The sequence below is a fragment of the Homo sapiens genome, chromosome 17, assembly GCF_000001405.40.
Source record: "Homo sapiens chromosome 17, GRCh38.p14 Primary Assembly".
NCBI classification, from domain to species: domain Eukaryota; kingdom Metazoa; phylum Chordata; class Mammalia; order Primates; family Hominidae; genus Homo; species Homo sapiens.
Genome location: NC_000017.11, coordinates 5,539,369 through 5,555,881, shown reverse-complemented (window position 1 = coordinate 5,555,881; position 16,513 = coordinate 5,539,369). Strand labels below are relative to the sequence as shown.

Genomic DNA, 16,513 nt, shown 5'->3' with positions numbered 1-16,513 from the left:
ACCTCAAATGATCCTTCTGCCTCAGCCTCCCAAAGTGCTGGGATCACAGGCATGAGCCACCATGCCAGCCCTTTATATATTTTTAAGTAGTCTGATACAACACCATTTTGAATGACCACATGCTATTCCATAGGGAAAGTGCCATGGCTGATTTGACCATTCTCCTGTTCTTGGCCATTTTAAGCTGCTTCTAGTTGTTCATAGTTATAAATGTGAGGTAGGCTTTAAAGGACCTGGATACAGGTACTGCAAGTAGCAGTGGACAGGTGGGAAATCTTCAAAGAGTTCCAAGCAGCTAGAGGCAGAGACCAGATGGTGGCTGGCCGGGGGATGGGGGCTGGGATAGGCAAAGGGAACCAAGAACACCAGGCCAGAGAGGAGAGTTTGGGATGGGCGGGAGCAAGTGGAGCCTTAAGAGAATGCCGTGGGAAAGTCAGAGGCTTCAGCCACAAGTGGGAGGAGAAATTTTCAAGGAACTGAATCAGCTAGACAAGGCAGAGAGAAGAATAAGGAAGCTACTATAAAAAAAACAAGAAAGTTCAGGAAGAAAGGGTGGAGGTTGGCCAAGGGCTGTGTGAAGGAAGAGGAGAACCAACCAGAGATATTAAAGAAATGAAGATGACAGGATGGGAGCTTCCAGGTGTTTGGCATGTGATTAAGCATTGTGCATTTTCAAGTATAAATTTTTAATTTTTTTTCAGTCACCTTGATTAAGGATGGCAAATGCCAACGGAAATAAAAAATTTAAAATGTATTTTTCAAGTTTCACAAAACTAAGTAAGTGTAAAAGAAATTCAAGTAAGCTTTCATTTATGGCTTTTTTTCGTGTGTGTGTGTGTGTGTGTGTGTGTGTGTGTGTGTGTGATGGGATCTCACTGTGTCTCCCAGGAATAGTGCAGTGGCATGACCATACCTCACTGCAACCTTGGCCTCCCAGGTTCAAGCCATTCTCCTGCCTCAGCCTCCTGAGTAGCTGGGACTACAGGTGCACACCACCACATTGCCTAATTTTTTTTATTTTTTGTAGAAACAGGATCTTACTATGTTGCCCAGGCTGGTCTTAAACTCCTGGGCTCAATCGATCCTCCTGCCTCTACCTCCTCAAGTACTGGGATTACAGGCTAGAGCCACTGCACTCAGCTGGCTTTTTTTATATGTTTGTAGTACTTGTACTTTCACAGTTATTAAAACTTAAAACTGCTCTAGGACTTTTGGGATACTCTTTAGTAGCTTTTAATTCTCACATACCCCTCTGCAGCAGGTGCTATTGCTGTCCTCTTTTTGCAGCGGAGGAGACGGAGTGAGGGATAGAGAAGCAGAGCCCACATGCAGGCAGCTCCTTGCCTCTGCTTCTTGCCCCCACATGGCTCTGCAGACTTAGGGGAAAAGATGAATTCAGGTTGGGGACTTGTTGGGACAAATTAGATCAAAGAATTACTGGGATGTCAAGGTGGGGATATCCAACCAGAAAATAGAAAACTCAGTCTGAAACTTGGAATAGAGATTTGAGTAGTTGAAGCCTTGGAGGTAGATGAGGTCACTAAAGTAGTGTGTGAAAACAGATTAAATGGGTGGAAATTCCATGAGTCGGAGTCTACTCTAACACCCTCAGACAAAGCCCGTCATCTCTTCCCCTCAGGCTGCAAATATTCTCTCCTAGGGCACTCCCCACAGCCATCCCTCTCCTGCAGACCCTCTTGTTATCCTGGGAAGGGGATAGGGTCCCATGTGAGCCAACCTGGACAGCAGTGCATATGATCATATACAGTCTTCCATCACAACATCCTCAGGCCATCTCTCCCAGGCTCTGCTACTGCCTCCCGTCTTCTTTCCTGGGCACTGGGACTCCAGAATGTCTGTGCCAAAGGAACACAGGTGTGTCTGCATCAAAGGGAGGAAGGCTGTCAAATTTTTTTTAAATTAAAATTGTCAAATTTTTTTAAAAAATTTTTTTCTTATCTGCAGTGCTCAGCACCGAGGCCAGGCCCTATGCTGAGCAGTGCAGATTTAAAAAAAAAAAAAAAAAGACAAATGTCTGTCCCTGCCCTCAAGGAACTCCCAGACTGAGGCAGAAACAGACACACAAGGTGAACACTTCAGTGTGCTATGGTAAGGGCTGTAGAATGAGGAGCCACATGGAGGAGAGGGACCTAGCCCTGGGTGACGGGCAGACAGGCAGGGAGGGCTGGTCAGTACTGGAGATGGCACTACCCGCTGTGGCCTGGTGCTCAGGGGGACAAAGCCCAACTGTGTTGTGCAGGGCTGGGCACCTCAAACCCCTGCCAGACACATCACATCTCTCCTGTCCTTCTCTCTCCCCCTCAGGTTCAGGTGGGTCCCAGTCACAGATGCCTATTGGCAGATTCTCTTCTCCGTCCTCAAGGTCACCAGAAACCTGAAGGAGCTGGACCTAAGTGGAAACTCGCTGAGCCACTCTGCAGTGAAGAGTCTTTGTAAGACCCTGAGACGCCCTCGCTGCCTCCTGGAGACCCTGCGGTGAGTCTGGCCTGGGTTCTGTTCTGAAGCAGGGATGGGGAAGAGATCCAAGGCAGAAGCTGAGTCTGGGCTGAGGGATTTGTCTTTGTATTTATCAAATATTCGTTGAGGCCTTCTCTGGCCGGGATGACTTTAGTAAACAAACACAGATAGGATTTTTTGCTCATAAAAAAAAAAAATTCCTTCATGAAGTGAGGTTTGAGGGAGGTCTGAAGAATACAGAGGATTTAACTAAGCAAAGCAGGAAGGAAAAAGTTCCAGGAAAAGAGAATAGCATGTACAAAGGCTCTGTGGAGAAGGCAGGAGGAGGCAGTCAAGAAACTGAAAGCAGGCCAGTGTGGCTGGAGGGCAGATAGCAAAGGGTTGAGATAAGGCTACAGATACCAACAGGAAGTAGACTATGCCAGGCTTGTGCACCATGTTGGATTTGGGTCTTTTCCTGATGGTGTGGAATTTTAAGCAGAAGGTTGACAAGATCAGTACATTTTCAAAATAGAAACTGGCTGCAACATGAAAAATGGATTGGAAGAGTGCAAAAGTAGAGGCTGGGAAACCAATTAGTAAGAAAATTGCAGTAGTCCCTGCAAAGATGGTAATAGTTTGGACTAAGGAAAATTATAGTACTTTTAAATGTCACAGATAGTCATAGCTTGGACTATGGTATTGGCAATGGATATGGAACAAAGTGGCTAGATGTAAGAGAGCTATAAAAGTAAAATCAACTGGGCTCAGTAATGGATTGAATTTAGGAAAAAAAGGAAGAGGAAGATATCAAGGATGATTTTAGGTTTCTGACCAAAGCAACTCATGGGATAGTGGCATCTTCATCAAGATGGGGAATACTAAAAGAAAAGTGATTGGGGGGTGGAATGTCATGAGTGTGATCTCGTGCTTGCTGGTTTCAAGATCCTTTCAAGGTATCCAACTGGACCTGCCAAATAGGTTTCAAATAAAGCTCTATCCAAAGATAAGATCGCCCCATAAAACAAATCTCAACAAATCTGCAAGGACTGAAATCATACAAAGTATATTCTCTGACCATGATAAAATGAAATTAGAAATCAACAATAGAAGGAAAGTTGAGGAGTTCATAAATACACTGAAATTTAAAAACACACTCCTAAATAACCAAGGGTCAAAGAAGAAATCACAAAGGAAATTAGAAAACACTTTGAGAGGGATGAAAACAAAATCACAACATGCCAAAATGTATTGGATGCAGCTAATGCAGTGCTTAAAGGGAAGTTTATAGTTATAAATACTTCTATTTAAAAAAAAAAAAAAAAAAAAAAAAAAAAAAAGGAAAGATAGAGCCAGACATGATGGCCCATGCCTGTAATCCCAAATCTTTGGAAGGCCAAGGCAGGACAATTGCCTTAGGCCAGGAGTTTGAGACCAGCCTGGGCAACATAGAGAGACTCTGTCTCTACAAAAACATAAAATAAAAAATTAGTTGAGAATGATGATGTGTGCCTGTTGTCATAACTACTTAGGAGGCTGAGACAGGAGTCTCACTTGAGCCCAGGAGTTCAACACTGCAGTGAGCTGTGATTATGCCATTGCACTTCAAGCTGGGCAACAGAGACAGACCTTATCTCTAAAAAAATTACTCAAAATTTTTTTAATTAATGAAAAAAAGAAAAGATACCACTACATACTTATCAGAATGGCCAAAATCCAAAACACTGACAACACCAAATGCTGACGAGGATGTGGAAAAACAGGAACTCTCATTCATTGTTGGTGGGAATGCAAAATGAGACAGCCCCTTTGGAATACAGTCTAGCAGTTTTCTACAAAACAAAATATACTTTTACCATAGGATCCAGCAATCGCATTCCTTGATATTTACCAAAATGAGTTGAATACCTCTGTCCACACAAAAACCTGCACATGAATGTTTATGGCAGCTTTGTTCATCATTGCCAAAACTTGGAAGCAAGCTGCCCTTCAGAAAGTGAATGGACTCATAAATTGTGGTACAAACAGACAATGGACTATTATTCAATGCTAAAAAGAAATAAGCTATCAAGCTACACAAAGATATGGAGAAACTTTAAATGCATGTTACTAAAAGAAGCCAATCTAAAAAGGCTACATGCTGTATGCTTCCAACTATATGACATTCTGGAAGAGGCAAAAACAAGGAGATAGTAAAAAAGATTAGTGGTTTCCAGGGCTTGGGGGAAGGGAGGAATTAATAGAGCACAGTAGAGTTTTAGGGCAGTGAAACTATTCTATATACTGTAATCGTTCATACATATTATTTTACAGCAATCAAAATCCATAGAATGTACACCACCAAGAGTGACCCCTAATGTAAACTATGGACTTTGGGTGATGATGTGTCCATGTCAGTTTATCAATTGTAACAAATGTCACCACAATATACTAGTGTGGTACAGCATGTCAGCAGTGGGAAAGATTGTATGAGGGATGTGGGGACAGGGAGTATATGGGAACTCGCTGTACTTTTTGCTCAATTTTACTGTGAACCTAAAACTACTCTAAAAAATAAAGTCTATTGAAGAAGAAGAAAAAGAAGAAGCAGAGAAATCTCAAATAAGTAACCTAAACTTACACCTTAAGAATTTGTTTTCCTTAGGTCTTTCATGTTAGTAAAGAAATTTTTTTAAAAAGCAAACAAAACCAAAAGCAAGCAGGGGGAAAGAAATAATAAAGACTAGAGTAGAGATAAATGAAACAGAGAATAGAAAACAATACAGAAAACCAATGAAACTAAAAGTTAGTTCTTTAAAAATACCAACAAAATTTGACACCTTTTAGCTAGACTAACTAAAATGTAAGAAGATTCAGATTACTAAAATCAGAAATAAAAGATGGGGTATCACAATTGAACTTACAGAAATAAAAGGATTATAAGTGAATATTATGAAATATTGTAAGCCAACAAATTAGATAACCCAGATGAAATGAGCCAACTTCCAGAAAGACACGAATACCTAAACTGACTTAATAAGAAATACAAAATCTTAATAGACTTATAACAAATAGAGATATTGAATTAGTAAGTTAAAAACTTTCTATGAAACAAAGCCCAGGCCCAGATGGCTTTACTAGTGAATTCTACCAAATATTTAAAGAAGAATTAACACTTATATTTTCAAACTCTTCCAAAAATAGCAGAAAAGAGAACACGTGCCAATTTGTTCTATGAGACCAATATTACCCTGATACCAAAATTAGACTAAGATAACCAAAAGCATCACAAGAGAAAAAAAAAAATCTGCAGGCCAACATCCTTTATGAATATATATGCAAAATTACATAACAAAATACTGGCAACATATAAAAAGGATTGTAGACCATGACCAAATGGGATTTATCCCAAGAATGCAAATTGGGTTTAACCTAGGATAATTGATCAATGTAATGCAAGATGTTAATAGAATAAAGAACACAAACCAATGATTATCTCAAAGACACAAAAAAAGCATTTGACAAACCCTCAACACCTTTTCACATTGGAAACACTCAGCAAACTAGAAATAAAAGGGAACTTTATCAACCTGATAAAGTTGTTACCAGTAAAAAAACCCACAGCTAACATTATACTTAATGGTGGATGACTGAGTGCTTTCCCCCTAAGATTAGGAATAAGACAAAGATGTCTGTTCTTGCCATTTCTATTCAACACTGTACTCAAGGTTCCATCCAGAGTAATTAAGCAAGAAAATGAAATTAACAGCTTCCAGATTGAAAAGAAAGTAATTAAACTATTATTTGCAGGTGACATGACATTGTATGTAGAAAATCCTAAGGAATCTACAAATATTAAAATTAGGGCCAGGTGTGGTGGCTCATGCCCTGTAATCCCAGCACTTTGGGAGGCTGAGGTGGGTGGATTGCTTGAGTTCCGGAGTTCAAGACCAGCCAGGGCAACACGGCAAAACCCTGTCTCTACCAAAACTACAAAATATTAGCCGGGCGTGGTGGCACACGCCCACAGTCCCAGCTACTCAGGAGGCTGAGGTGGGAGAATCGCTTCAGCCTGGTAGGCAGAGGTAGCAGTGAGCTGAGATTGTGCCACTGCACTCCAACCTGGGTGACAAAGGGAGACCCTGTTGAAAAAGAAAAAAAAAAAAAACTAATGATTTCAGCAAGGTTTCAGGAAACAAGATCAATATACAAAAATTAGTTGTGCTGCTATACACTAGCAATGAACAATCCAAAAATTAAATTAGGAAAACAATAAATTTAACAAAAGAAAACTTGTATACAGAGAACTACAAAAAATGGTTGAAAGAAATTATGTAAGACCTAAACAAATGAAAAGATGTCCCATGTTCATAGATTGGAAGACTTGATATTATTAAAATGACAATACCCCCCAAACTGATCTATAGATTCAACACAATCCCTAGCAGAATCCCAGCTGCCATTTTTGCAGAAATGGACAAGCTGATTCTAAAATTCACGGGCAAAAATAAGATTGCATGTCAAGCCTGGGGAACACCCCCACCCCAGTATTTAATGGCCAAAGAAGAGCCAACAAACAAGCCTGAGAAGGAGGGGCCACATAGATGAAAGGGACACCAGGAGAGAGAGGTGTCATGGAACCCAACAGAGCAGAGGGTCTCAAGGAGGTCAGCAGGGACTACTGCTGCTGGGAGGTCAAGATAAGGACTGAAATTTGTCCATTGGATTAGTGATAGGAAAGTCATGAATAACCTCAGCAGAAGTACCTTATGTGGCATGAAGAGGCGAGAATGCAGACTGGAGTGCATTAAAGAGGGAGAAGGAGGTAAAAAATGAGACCACAAATATACTTTCTTCAAAGACTTTGATAGTGAAAAGGAGGAAAGCACTAAAGCAGAGGGGATGGTGGGCTGAGTAAATGTGTGTGTCTGTCCATCTGCTTACTTGCATTTAAGAAGGAAAAGATCTCAGTTTGAGAATCAGTGAGGAGGAGTGATAAAAGACACAAGAAGGAGAAGGAGTCATTGATGGCTCTCTATCCTCAGAGGGAGGAGGGAGGAGAAAGATTGGCCTTGGAAGAGGGAGGAAATGTCTCCTTTACTGTAACAGGAGGGGAGATGAGGACAGGGAAGAGAGAGGTAGGAACATAGGTTTCACTCTGAGAAGCTGAGAGGTTCCCATCTGATGGCTTCATTTTTCTCTGAGAAATAGGAATTGAGTTGTTTGCTAGGAGTGAGTGTGAGGGTTGAGGTGTTGGATGTTTGGAAAAGGCAAGATCTTCAAATGGCCATAGTAGAGTGTGAGATCTCTGCCAGTCAGGCATTGCTGTGGCCCATGTGAGGGTCGTGGTCATGATTCAAGATGGCAGCCACCTACCCTGTTGCACAGGTGGGAGTTTGGGTGGAGAGTGGAAAGATAGCAGAATTCAGGGTTAGCCAGAGGAATGTGATGGAAGGTCAGAGGGTAAGAAATTCAGGATACTGCCAATGAAGGATCATGGAATCTAACCTACATTCCAAGGAAATTGAAGAAAAGAAAGTGATAAGAGATTGAAAGAAAGGAGATTGTAAGAAAGGAAAGCAATCAAGAGATTGTTCATTAAAAAGGAGTTACAGTGGGAGAAGTTGAGCAGGCAGAGTAAGGAGGCAAGCCCAGCCTCGTGCTGTGACTTTCTGTATCCTTATGAGGCTGCTCTACCCACTCCTAAGACCTATCCAAGGAGAACCACCAGAGTCCAGTAAAAATGCTTTTGAGCAGGACTAAGGAATCCTGGTTCTACCTCAAACTTCACACCCCAGTAGGAAGACACCAATCTTCAATGTACTCTTTTTACATTGGCATAAAATTTCACTATCTCAAACCCAAACAACTCCATATCTGTTAATTCCTTGGGCCTTCCAAAAAACACCCTGCAAAAATGGCAGAGCAGGGACAACTATTTCCATTTTCCATATATAAAGAAATGGGCTGGGGAAGGACATTCCCTGGAGCCAGACACACACAGGTTCAAATCTTGCCTCTAACGGTTACAGATTGAAAACTATGGGTAGGTTTCTTTAGCAAGTTTCAGTTTACTCATTAATAACATGGATTCACCATGTCTGTTGCACAAGGTGGCTGCAAAGTCAAAGGAGATCATGTATGCTATGTACTTAGGGTCATGTGTGCTATGTATTTAGGGTTATGTATGCTGTGTACTTAGGACATGTATGCTATGTACTTAGGGTCATGTATGCTATGTATTTAGGGTCATGTATGCTATGTACTTAGGACCATGTATGCTATGTACTTAGGTTCATGTATGATGTGTATTTAGGGTCATGTATGCTATGTATTTAGTGCCTAAGTTGTCCTAAGAGGCTCAGAGAAATTAACGACTTGCCAAATTCACATAGTTAGCAGTGGGAGAGCTGGACACAACTCAGTGAGGGCAAGACCCAGCACCAACACCTACCTCCTCTGTATCAGGTAAGCCGGGGCCTGATTAATTCTGGCTCACTGGGGGTAGCACCATAAAAAGAAAGAAAATCTGGATCAGGCAAATGTGAATATTTCCCACAATAAAAACATCTCCATATGGAAGAGTGTACAGCCTTACACACGCTTGGATGCCAGACTACCCAAGACCCGCAAGCAAAGTCCTAACTATTGTATTTCTCTTTTTTTATTTACCTACATCTCCTCATTTCCTCCCCCTCCTCGCCCCTGATAACCACCATTTATTCTTTCTTTGTATGTATTTTGCTTTTTTAATATTTCACCCACAAGTGAGACCATGTAGTGTTTTTCTTTCTATGTCTGGCTTATTTCACTTTTGGATTTATCTTGAAATGCATTGAATAAGCTGGTGTCAGGAATTCTGGGGTTTTGTCACTAATGGCCTGTAAAATTGAGCACATTACGCAGACAAAGGAGAAATTGGCGGGAGTGGGGTTGGAGAGCTCAAAAAAGGAATGCCGGAAAGAGCAAGGTCAGGGGAGAGACCAGACAGAGGGTGTGGAATCGAAGACACATGAGGGTGGACCCTTGGCCTCCTCTGGAACAGAAGAGAAAGGACTATGTGATGACACAGGCAGCTGAGGACGGAGAGGTGGAGGGACATTGAGGGTTTTGGTTTCCACAGCAGCAGCATCCTTTAAGCACTAACCTTCTGCCAGGGGCTTCCCTAAGAACATGGCATACATGATCTCCTTGGATCTTGCAGCCAGCTGGTACAATAGACATGGCAGATCCATGATACTGATGAGTGAACTGAAACTTGGTAAAGACATCTGCCATAGTCTTCAACTTGTAACTGACAGAGGCAAGATTTGAATCCATCTCTGTCTAGCCCCAAAGCCTGTGCCCTTCACCTGCCCACTGGGGTCACTGCTGCCCAAGGTCAGATGGCCTCAGCCTCCTCACAGAGGTCCAATACCAAGTGTCTTCACTGGGGCTTGGGAGTGGGTAGGATTGGAGGAGGGAAGTCCACACAGCACAGCTTGTAATGGTAAGTTGTTTAAAAATAAATAAAGCCCCAAGAGAGGCACATTTGTTTATGCTGAGATGAGTCCTGGGGGCAGGAACATGCCTAGTGAAAATGAGCTTGTCAACAAGCAGGAAATCAGATAAGCCAGGTGGGTAGAACCGACCACCCAGGGAGAGAGTGGGCTGGCAGGAGACAGCCATCTGGGAAGTAGGCCCTCAGCTGTGAGATGCCAGCCACAGGCAGTGAGCACAGAGCCACATCTGCCAGCTGCGTCTGGACTTTCTTGGGCCACACTCTGCAGCTCAGGGTTGGAAGCAGAGAAGGAAGACAGTGATTGTCCAGGGAGACGTTACCGAGGGCCTGGTGCACTCTAAAATCCAAGTGCTCTACAATGCCACATACTGAGTCGTGTGTGTGTGTCTGTGTGTGTCTGTGTGTGTGTCTGTGTCTGTGTCTGTGTGTGTATGTGTGTGTGTGTCTGTGTGTCTGTGTGTGTGTGTCTGTGTGTGTGTCTGTATGTGTGTCTGTGTGTCAAAGTGTGTGTCTCTGTGTATGTCTGTGTATGTGTGTGTGTATCCGTGTGTGTCTGTGTGTGGGTGTCTGTGTCTGTGTGGGTGTCTGTGTGTGTGTGTGTGTGTGTCTGTGTGTCTGTGTGTAAGAGAGACAGGGGGAATTGGGGTTTCGCTCTGTCACCTAAGCTGGAGTGCAGTGGTGTGATCATGACTCAATGCAGCCTCAAACTCCTGGATACGAGCCATCCTCCCACCTCGGCCTCCAAAAGTGTGGGGATTACAGGCAGGAGTCACCACACCTTGCCAGGATGTGTGTTTAATGCAGCTGACCTTAAATTCCTGGCTGGATAGGAAAGTCCAGAAGGAAGCCAGAGAAAAACAAAGGGGAAAAGTAGGTCTTATGAGAGCAAGGAAAGACAGAGATTTTTGGAGAGGATGGAGAGTGGTATTTGAGTCCAACCAGAAGGATAACCAGGCCCCACCTTCAGCCTCCTTCCCCCTCACACACAGCCGCTCCCATAATCATATCAGATGGCCGCTCCCACAGTGTCTGCCAACCCTGCATCTGCAGCTCCAGACCCAAACCCAACACCCTCCTCTGAGGTGTCCCAGAGGCTCCTGAAATTCAGCCTATTCTTACCTAGACTATCCTCCCTAACTAAAAACAAACTGTTCCTCCTCTCAGAACCAACTGCATCATTTTCAGGACCCAATACAAAATGAAAATGCAGTGTCCTAGCTCAAAAGTCAGGATGAAAGTGCTGTTAAAGGTACTACGATACAGAGCTTTTTCTTTCTTCCATAGTTTCTCTCTCAACCTATCACAGTGTATTTTATTTGCTATTTAACAATGCATTCCCTTGGGCACTGGGACACTAGCAGTGTTTGTCCAGACCCTCAAAGGTGCTCGGAGGCCTCTCCACAGCTCAGCATGTGCACATGGTGCACCAGATGCAGGGTGCCTCTCCCACAAGTCACCAGATCCAGGCACCATGCCCCAGAGTGGGTAAAATGTCAAGCCAGACATGTCTCCTTCCCATGGGCCACCACCCCAGCCTAAAGCAGATGGGAGACCCTCCAGGGTATTGCCAGGATGCATTAGGTATCTAGATCAGTGGTGGGGGAGATTTGCCCCCACCAAATCACCAAATGTGCCATGATGCTGCCAGCCCAAATCGAGAAAGGCTGCCACCTGCCCTACCCCAAGATGCCCCACCCCAACCTACCCATGCCTGATCCAGGCCCCCACCAGAGATAAAGCGTGGCAATAATCACTGGGCTGAGGTTGAGTGGGGGCCCCACAACACTCAAATGCAGGATGACCAAGAACTATTTCCCCTAGAGGGAGGGAGGGAGGTGGCAGGAGATGGCATCACCTATGAGCTGAGGCTCCATGGTCCCATCAGACTTCACCTACAAAACACAAATTTAAAGACAAAATTATTAAGAAATTCAAGATGGCCACCACAGAGCATTAACCCCCCCAATCTAGAAGGGTCCTTCTCACACCCCTGCCAGTTCCGGGTCCTTCTGAGCACGGGGCCCTGTGCAACCACCCTGGTTGTACACCAATGAAACTGACACTCTTCTAACATCTGCTTTCTCAGTAAGTGACAGCAGCTTCTACTCTGAATCCAACCTTGAGGCCTCCCTGGACTCCACTGAGTGCCACAGGGTCTGCTCCAAACATCTCCCGAAGTCGCTGCTCTGACAGTTGCTCATCCTCCCCCACAGACCCCTTGCCTCCTGCCTTTCCCCACCCAGCCACCTCCACTTCCTCAGGGATCTTGCATTTTTTTTTTTTTTATTTGAGATGGAGTCCTGCTCTGTCACCCAGGCTGGAGTGCAGTGGCATGATCTCAGCTCACTACAACCTCCCTCAGGGATCTTTCTAAAGCAATGCAGAGACCACATCACTGCTGGCCTCAGGAACTTTCATGGGCTCATCACTGCCACAGGGAAATAGGTCTAAACATCTTATAATGACATCCAAGACCTACTACTATCTTGATATTTTCTAGCTTTACCCTCAGACTTTCTCTCTACCTGGGTAGCCTTTACGCTAACATCACTATACTAACCGCGTGCTGTGATTTCACATCTGCCCTACCAGCCACGCGTGCCCCTGCCTCCGCCCTCACCTCAGTGAATCACTCATTTAAGTTTCACCGTTTCCACCCTGCCTTGGCAATCACTCATTCCTCTGCCTTCAGCTGCACCTGACTTGCCCCTCTTTTGAGGCTATTTCATTCATTTATTTACTACATACTTACTAAGCACCTACTGTATGCTAGACCCTGCTCTGGGCACTGGGATATGACTAGTAATGAAAATGGGGCTGGGCACGGTGGCTCACGCCTGTAATCCTAACACTTTGGGAGGCTGAGGTGGGTGGATCACCTGAGGTCAGGGGTTGAAGACCAGCCTGGCCAACATGGCGAAACCCCGTCTTTACTAAAAATACAAAAATTAGCCGGGCATGGTGGCAGGCACCTGTAATCCCAGCTACTCAGGAGGCTGAGGCAGGAGAATCACTTGAACCCAGGGCGCGGAGGTTGCAGTGAGCCGAGATCACGCCACTGCACTCCAGCCTGGGTGAAAGAGCGAGACTCCATCTCACAGAAAGAAGGAAGGGAGGGAGGGAAGGAGGGAGGGAGGAAGGAGAGAGAAAGAAAGGAGGGAGGGAGGGAGGAAGGAAGGAGAAAGAGGAAAGGAAGGAAGGAAGGAAGGAGAGGGAGGGAGGGAGGGAGGGAAATGGGCAAAATTCCTTCCTCAAGGAGCTTACATTCTAGTTGGGAGGGAGGACAAGAAGCCAAATAAGTAAGTAAAATATATTGTGAGTGACATGAGCTATAGAGAAAAGTAAAGCAGAAAGGAGCAGGGAGTCTGGGGATGGGTGTGCAATTTTAAGTGGAGAGACGAGGCAAGATGTCACCAAAGCGACTTCCTTCTGAGCAAAGACCTGACGCAAGTGGAGGAGCACCCCATGAGGTGTCAGCACCAGAAGATTGTTCCAGGCAGAAGAAGCAGCAGAAGCAGCAGGTGCAGAGACCTTAGGTGGAACTGTGCCTGGGGTGAGGAAGGAAGAGAGAGAAGGGCAGTGACTATGGACCTAAAAGAGATTAGAGATGAGGACAGAGATGATGAGGATCCAAGTCCCCAGAGCCCTGTAGACCAGGAAAAGGACCGTGAATTGTATTCTGAGTAATGTGGGAAAACATTGGAGGGTTTTAATCAAAAAGGATCAAAAAACTAACTATTATGTGTTTCTATGTCTATCCCCAAGTACCATGTGCATTTCTGGGGCCTGGGAGGGTTTTCTAGACCTCTGCCTGGCCCACAGGCCTGGTGCATAGTAGGTGATTAATGGTTGCTTATGGGTGTCTGTTGAATCAACAGGTGAGTAACCTGAAGACCATGGGTGTGTGTCTTCCACAGGTTGGCTGGCTGTGGCCTCACAGCTGAGGACTGCAAGGACCTTGCCTTTGGGCTGAGAGCCAACCAGACCCTGACCGAGCTGGACCTGAGCTTCAATGTGCTCACGGATGCTGGAGCCAAACACCTTTGCCAGAGACTGAGACAGCCGAGCTGCAAGCTACAGCGACTGCAGTAATTGTTCTTGGTGGGCAGGGGGAGGTGGAGGGAACTGCCTGCCACCATGAGGCAGGCAGAGGGTAAGAGCAGAGAGAAGGTGAGACCTGCTTTGTGGGAGTGGGAGGAGCCTACAGGATCTCAGCCAGGCAGTAGAGGCTCAGGAGGAAGCTCATCCACCCTTGGACAGAGGGAGGGGGCCTCCAGGCTCCAAATACAGCAAGAGAAGCCAAGTCGAGTCAAGGGACGTGAATGCAAGGTGGGGACAGGGGGCAGAATTTGTGGCCATTTTCACAGACTACCACAGAGGATGATGATAATCGTGCCCACTTCATAGAGCTATGAGGATTGCAGCAGTGTTTTTCTATTCTTCTCCTGTTCCCACGAGCTGTGATCTGCCTAGTAACAGGTCCTCTTACTTGGCATGGGGTTCTGCCATGGAGAGCTGAAATCACTGGTGTCCACTTAGTTCGATTTACTATCTCATCCGAGGGGACAGAGCCATCCCCCCCGCCACCATGTAGAAACAAGTGAGGCGCCCTGGCTCATGCCTGTCATCCCAGCACTTTGGGAGGTCGAGGCAGGCAGATCACTTGAGGTCAGGAGTTCCAGACCAGCCTAGCCAACATGGTGAAACCTTGTCTCTACTAAAACTACACAAAGTAGCCAGGCGTGATGGTGGGCACCTGTAATCCCAGCTACTCAGGGAGCCTGAGGCAGGAGAATTGCTTGAACACAGAAGGTAGGCATTGCAGTGAGCTGAAATCACCTCATTACACTCCAGCCTGGGCAACAGAGCGAGACTCCTTCTTAAAAAAGAAAAGAAAAGAAACAAGAGTGCATAGTTACCTCTCCCTGGTCCTGCTGGGCCTCCTCCCTTGATGCACAAAGTTATACACACCCCTCTGTGCACCCGCTCAGGGGGCTGCCTTCAGGGTCTTCTTTTGTTTCTGCCCAAGCCCTGAAATATCCTTGTTTACACCTTGCGAGATCTTTGTTCACACATCACACGTCCCTTCCTTCTTCCCAAGGCCAAACCTCTGCCCTTCCCAAGGCTATTGCCTGCTTCCCCATTCAGTAATCCTGATCAAGAGTTGATGGGAAGGGGGCATGGGAAGGGGAGACAACGAGGATCCTCTCCTAGTATCAGGGGTCGGCGATCCCTGGTCGGCTAGGAAGTCGGTAACACTTGTCAGATTTAATCCTCGCTACATCTACAGAAGACAAGATTGGATCTCGGAGAGATTCATTATTTTCCCAAGGCCACATAGCCAGGAAGTAGCTGCACCAGGATTTGAAGCCAGGTCTGACCTCAAAGCCTGGTTTTCCATTCTCCCTGTTCCCTCTCTTAGCGAAGGCCCTGGAATGCTTTGTGACATTTACAAGCTTGGACTGCAGCTGGGTCTGAGCAGACCCAGCTGGGAGAGCCAACAGTTCTAGAAGCAGGGCTGAGACCCCAAGAGCAGAGGATCCCCAGACAGGAGAACCCCCAGAGAGAGCCTACATATATACAACATACAGCAGGTACATAGCCCTTTTCTGGCATAAATGGTAGCACAGCACAAACTCTGCCCTGCACTTTGCTTTATCAGTTAAAATATATCTTGGAGATGGTCCCACATCCGTACGTACAAAGTCACATCATTCTTTTTAATCACAGCATGGAATTTCACTACATGGACTTACCATCATGTTTTTATCCATCGCCTATTATGAGCAGCCAGATTGTCTCCAGTGTTTGCTGTAAACAGGGCAGCAGTTAACATCCCCCAGTGCGTCCTGAGACCCAGCATATTATCTGTAGCTTAACTTCCGAAAAATGGAACTGCTGGGAAAACGATATGTTGCTAATTTTGCCCTCTAAAAAGGCCCTACCGGCCGGGCACGGTGGCTCACCCCTGTAATCCCAGTACTTTGGGAGGCCTGGGACACAGAGTGAGAACTCGTCTCAAAAGAAAAAAGAAAAAGAGAAAACAGATAGACCCAGGTGTACAAGTGGGACATTGAGTAAGTTACTCATCAATGTGGACAGAGTGAGGGGACTGGATCAGTGTGAATCACACAGGATTGAGAAAGGGTAGGTGCTGGCATCCTGAGGGGTTCCGTGGCTGCAAGAGGAAAGTGAAAATCTCTCAGGTTACCGCAAGCCAGGAAAGTTTGTATCTTCTCTGCATGTCATCCCAGACCCTCAAAAGGCCACAGATGCTGAGAAGGAAGATCAGACCCTAGTTACCCTGAAGAGCGAGCCCTTAGGACAATGACCTGGGCTGGCGTGTATCTTTCCTGCAGGCTGGTCAGCTGTGGCCTCACGTCTGACTGCTGCCAGGACCTGGCCTCTGTGCTTAGTGCCAGCCCCAGCCTGAAGGAGCTAGACCTGCAGCAGAACAACCTGGATGACGTTGGCGTGCGACTGCTCTGTGAGGGGCTCAGGCATCCTGCCTGCAAACTCATACGCCTGGGGTAAGGCCCTGTGGGTCCCTTCTGGGCAGAGGGAAGAGGGTTGGGG

General features: G+C 45.6%; 1 protein-coding gene and 1 long non-coding RNA gene across 7 annotated transcripts in view; one reads left to right on the top strand and one right to left on the bottom strand.

The window, feature by feature from the left end:
- Positions 1 to 16,513, top strand: part of NLRP1 (NLR family pyrin domain containing 1) — an 83,114-nt gene that overhangs the window by 28,628 nt on the left and 37,973 nt on the right. For all 5 annotated transcript variants that reach the window (NM_001033053.3, NM_033007.4, NM_033006.4 and 2 more), the window contains exons 5-7: positions 2,326 to 2,496; positions 13,855 to 14,025; positions 16,297 to 16,467. In NM_001033053.3, coding sequence (NP_001028225.1) covers positions 2,326 to 2,496; positions 13,855 to 14,025; positions 16,297 to 16,467 — 513 coding nt within the window. The remainder of the gene's footprint in view (positions 1 to 2,325; positions 2,497 to 13,854; positions 14,026 to 16,296; positions 16,468 to 16,513) is intronic.
- Positions 1,284 to 11,852, bottom strand: LOC105371507 (uncharacterized). 2 transcript variants are annotated; one of them, XR_001752775.2, is made up of 4 exons: positions 11,793 to 11,830; positions 8,891 to 8,934; positions 1,739 to 1,881; positions 1,284 to 1,376 (listed from the first exon to the last, which is right to left on the bottom strand). It is a non-coding gene; the product is annotated as an uncharacterized LOC105371507 (long non-coding RNA). The 2 variants fall into 2 exon arrangements; XR_007065589.1 differs by lacking the exon at positions 8,891 to 8,934 and having other exon boundaries at positions 11,793 to 11,852.